Here is a 5,141-nt window from a genome sequence, read left to right as displayed (position 1 = left end):
CAGAATCCACCACTTCCAACATATTTTACCATTACTGGCATTCATTAATTCATATTACTTAGTAGGAAATACTAAACCATTTTCATAGAAACAATTTGCTATAATAGAAAATTATATCACAAACTTAACACTATCTCTTGTATATTCATATGTTTATAAAGTGTAGATAACTAAAGGATTAAGTGGCATTAGGATCTTTGTTTTAACATTTTAAGTTGCAGTTTGAAGCCACATTCATGGCTATTAACTTTGTTTTTTAATAGTTTCTGCCCTTAAAATTTCAAAGTATTTGTGGATATTTCCCAAGATGGTGACGAAAAAGAAAACTATCCTCATTTAAGATGTTGCTTTTGTTAACGTAGTTTAGAGGCGGTTTTTCTTTCCATTAAATTGAGGATGAGAATATCTGCAAGAATGTATACAAGGTTTGAATAAAGTTTCCTTAGGAAACTAAATTAAAAAACGTTTTATTTAACTGAATTCTAAAATGGCACTTAAAAACAAAACTTTAATCAAACAAAAAGTTATGCAAAATACTGCCTTCAGGCGACATCGCCAAATGCCAATTGGACCAAAAAAAAAAAAAAAATGGGCTTCTAAGAAGAAGCTCAAGAAATATGTTAAATTGCAAAAAGCACATCAAAACTAGGTAAAAACAAGTCAATTCCAACAGTTAACTTTAGTAGCTAAAAAGACATCACATATCCAATGCCTAGGAGACACAGTTTGTAACTTTTTTAGTTGATAACATTGCTTTTATGATACCATGATACCCACTTGTATTGAATCCATATATATAAAATTCTTAAACCTATCAATCAAATTTAAAAGTCTAGCCCCAAATCCCACAGGCTCAATGTTAAATTTCCCCACATTTGTCAAGCCTGCTTATATTGAATTTCCACTTACATCAACCTATTAGTTTCACCAGCTATGCTATGTTTTTATAGGGCTTTATACCACTTCCTGGTACCACAGAGAGGAGGCAGAAAAATGAAGGGGTAGCCAATGTGCTTTCCTACATATATTGTATTACTTTGTTTTATTGAAATTTCTGTCTAATCTGGAAATGAGATATATATAGTAAGCTTGTTTCACTTTCTACAGAGTTAGCTCAAACTTGAATGAAATTGTGAAGATACTAAAGCTTGATGAAATATGTAACTCTTTTTATCTGTCACATCCTAATTTTGAGATTATATTTTAAAATAGACATTCAGGTATTTCCAGATAATTGTTCTATTTTAGAACAAAATGGATGAATTTACTTTTCTTTTAGACTGTAAATGTGGTTTGTTTCTAATATATTGGACACAAATTTTAGAGAGTCTATCTTAGGGTTATGTTTGGCACCGGAGATCACAGTGGCTGTAAAGACAACGTCTTGTAAAAGAGTGGACATTGACATCATGGTATTTTTTTTTGTTTAACCATTCTAAGGTAGGCAAACTTAAATTTACTTTTATTACACTTAAGAAATATTTCTTGCTATTACATTTTGCCTGAATAGAAAGAAAACATTTTTATAAACGTTCCTATAGCTTTCATGCTTCGAGGAAACTGTTGCAATCAGACTGAATTTATTGAATATCATTTCAATTTTCCTTTGACTTCTGTAAAAATTTTTAGTACAAGTCTGTTTTAAGGATGAATTTGTTTTAATAATATAGAAGAAAATTCATTATATGAAGAAAATAATTATCTATTTGTTTTAGATAAATAAACAGGAAATGAACAATCAAGTTTATTTTGAATACATTTATATTCCAAATGAGTGACTCATGAAAGAGGAAGAGTAAAACGATTTAAGGATGACATGCTGTTTTTAGCCAGTATTTTCCAAACTGCATCTTAAGAGGTATTCATTACTGTCCTGTGGAAAAGGGGTTTCTAAACTGTTTAGATACTAAAAATGGAAATTTGTGGTTTACGTTGAGAAAAAAATTAGAATTATTCTTTAATTATAAAAACTAATAGTTCCATTGAACATCATTTATTATTAAGCATTCTAGAGATAGAAAGTTTCCTGAGGTTGCTTATCCCAACTTCCTAAAACCTCATCAATTGAAACTGGTGTGAGAGAGGCTTTGCTTGAGCAATCGAAAGAATAAAAGGATATCTATACATTTTTGTGTCAATTCAGAATTCTGGTTTCAATCCTGTTTCTATCCCTTGAGCTAGGTCTGTAATCTTACGGGATGTAAGTTTTTCTTTTTTTTTTTCTGCATAATGTGATAAAATTACCTCTTACATATTTGTTCTAAAAATTATGATGTATGTAAAGAATATAGAGTACCGATTGAAATTAGTGAGAAATTAATAAACATTAAATAACACACACATGCACAGCACACATTTTCTTACTTGTACTTTACGCTTTTATGCTATATTCTTTTCATGTAAATATTTAATATATGAAAATATATTACAATTTTTGTCCAGAGTTACGAGGTTGCAAAGAGTAGCAAACCTAGTCATTATGAAATCATTTTTGCTAACAGGATTTTTATAAGATTGATCATTCAAACTTTGCTGTCTTTTTAAAATAACTTACTGCATCCATTATATTGAAGTCTTATACTTTCTGGACAACGTCTGCAGAAACTCTAGGAACACACTATGAAGACAGTGTATACACTTAAAAAGAGTGTATTCCTAAAGTTTCTGGAGAGGTTGTCCAGCAATTTAAATCATAAACCTTGAAAATGTTGTAGAATTTCTTGCAGGTGATGAATAATGTTGGAAGGGCAGTTCAGATTAGAGATTAAATCATTCACAAATAAAAATCTGACTTATTTATACTGGTTAATATACAAGAAAATTAGGAAAAGGATAAGAGATAGCTCTCAAAGGAGATAATTGAGGAAATTAATAAAGCCCTTTAATATTCTTTAAATGACTTTATTTATTATTATCTTCAAAGTCACACTCAAATAAAAAATAGTACTTTATACAATTTAATTAGGAAAGACCTATATATTTTCAAATCAATGTCTTATTAATTCTTTATTCTAAGACTTGGCATTGAAAATTTTTGTTAAATACAAGGCTAAGTAAACTCATTTTTATAATTTTGATTTTATTTTTCAAAACTAGTTTCCAATTAAACTTTTTGTCAGTATTTACTAGAAAATTTTTGGTGTCCATTAAGTGGCTTTTACATTGTTCTGATGCAAATTGTACTCTGGTAGTAAAGACTTCCAGAAAATTTCAACTCAGCTCAGAAAATGTTAACTGATAGTATGGTAAATTTCATGAATGGGTAAGTATGACAGATTTCGCATTCATTGTTTAACTGACTGCTTCTAAATTCATTGATTCATAATCACATAACAAATATTCATGAAGTGCCAGCTACCACCTATAATAGAACTAAGTGCAGTAATGGGAAAATAAGAATAAATAAAGCACAGTGCTGCACTTGTGGCATTTTATAGCATGTAGCAGAGATTGACATATAAATTATACTTTTATTCAAGCTATCAGAGGAAATGTACAAATTACCATGTGAGCAATAACAAGGATAGCTCATTCCTGATAAAATAATAATAATAATAAAGTTCTCTTACATAATTCAAAGAGCAACCCCGTTCTTACCCTATGGTTGACTCCATATGCAATTTATTCCATTCATTCATTCATTCATTCAATAAACAATTTGGGAATCTTTTGTGTACAGGAGACACACATACAAACATATTACAATACACTATGTGAATTTTAAGAATATACAGAGCTAACACACTGCCTACGGATATAGAAAGAGGACTCTGAAGTGACATTTGAACAGTCGCTAGAAAACAAGTAATTTTCCACCTTGGTGGTAAGGGTCGGGAGGAGAGGACGGACTAAGAGTACATCTTGTGCAATTTGGGAGCAACAGGTGCAAGGAAAGAATGTGAAAGATCAGGTGTTTAGGGAAGATCTACCAAACTTTAAAAACTGGTATCATTTTCAAGAAAGTGCTACCTAAGCAAAATGTATGCCTTTCAGGTTCCTACCCAAATTAAAAATCCCAGATTAAAGCAGTTCTAGAGATGGGATGTAAGCACAGTCACCTATTTATCATGGAATATGTACATTTTTAAAATAGAATTAAATGGGTGACTTTTTCTTTTTAAAATGAGATATAGCATGCATAAATCATGCTAATATTAAATGTTCAGCTACACGATTGAAAAAAAAAAACTTACATTGTCACTCATGTAACTATGAACCAGATCATATGCAGAAAATTTCCAGCACGTTCACCTCTTATGCCCCTTCTTCCACTCAGTAACCACCTACCCAGTGTAATCATTATTCTGACTTGTATCATAATAAATTAGTTGGTGTTGTTTCTGAAGATAATTTAAATAAATACATGTGACATCTATTGTGTTGTGTCTAGTTTCCTTCAATCAAAATTTTATTTCTTGTACATCTTAAATTAACTAAAAGAGTATAATTGAATTGCTTGTAACACAAGGAAAGGATAAATACTTGAGGCAATTGATTCCCCATTTACCCATTTACCCTGATGTGACCATTACACTTTATATGCCTGTATCAAAATATCTCATGTACCCCATAAATGCACATACCAACTATTACCCACAAAAGTTAAAAAAATTTAAAAAATCTATTTTGAGATTCATCCTGTTTCTTTCATGTATCAGCTTTTGTTTTTCCATTAGAGCTGTATTATATTCCACTGTGTGAACATACCACAATTTATTTATCCTATTTCATGATGGGCATTTCAGTTGTTTCCAGTTTGGGGCTATTATGAATAAAGCTGGTATGAATATATTTATAGTGAATATCAGCATACATTTTTCTTAGATATATACCCAAGAATGAAATCCTGGGCCCTATTTAGCTTAAGTGGATATGAGATATCATTATTTTAAAAATTAAATTTGGCTTGACACTGTAGAGTAATATAAAAAGACAAATAATACTGATAGTAGTTGTATTTATTTGCTAGGGCTGCCATAGAATTCCAGACACTGGGGTGGCTTAAACAGCAGAAATTTATTTTCACACAGTCCTGGAGGCTGAAAGTCCATGATTGTGTTAGCAGATTTGGTTTCTTCTGAGGCCTCTCTTTGGCTTACAGATGGCCACCTTCTTGCTGTGTCTTCATATGATGTTTTTCT

Source organism: Homo sapiens, chromosome 8 (genome assembly GCF_000001405.40).
Source record: "Homo sapiens chromosome 8, GRCh38.p14 Primary Assembly".
NCBI lineage: Eukaryota > Metazoa > Chordata > Mammalia > Primates > Hominidae > Homo > Homo sapiens.
Note: the sequence above shows the minus strand (reverse complement) of the source record.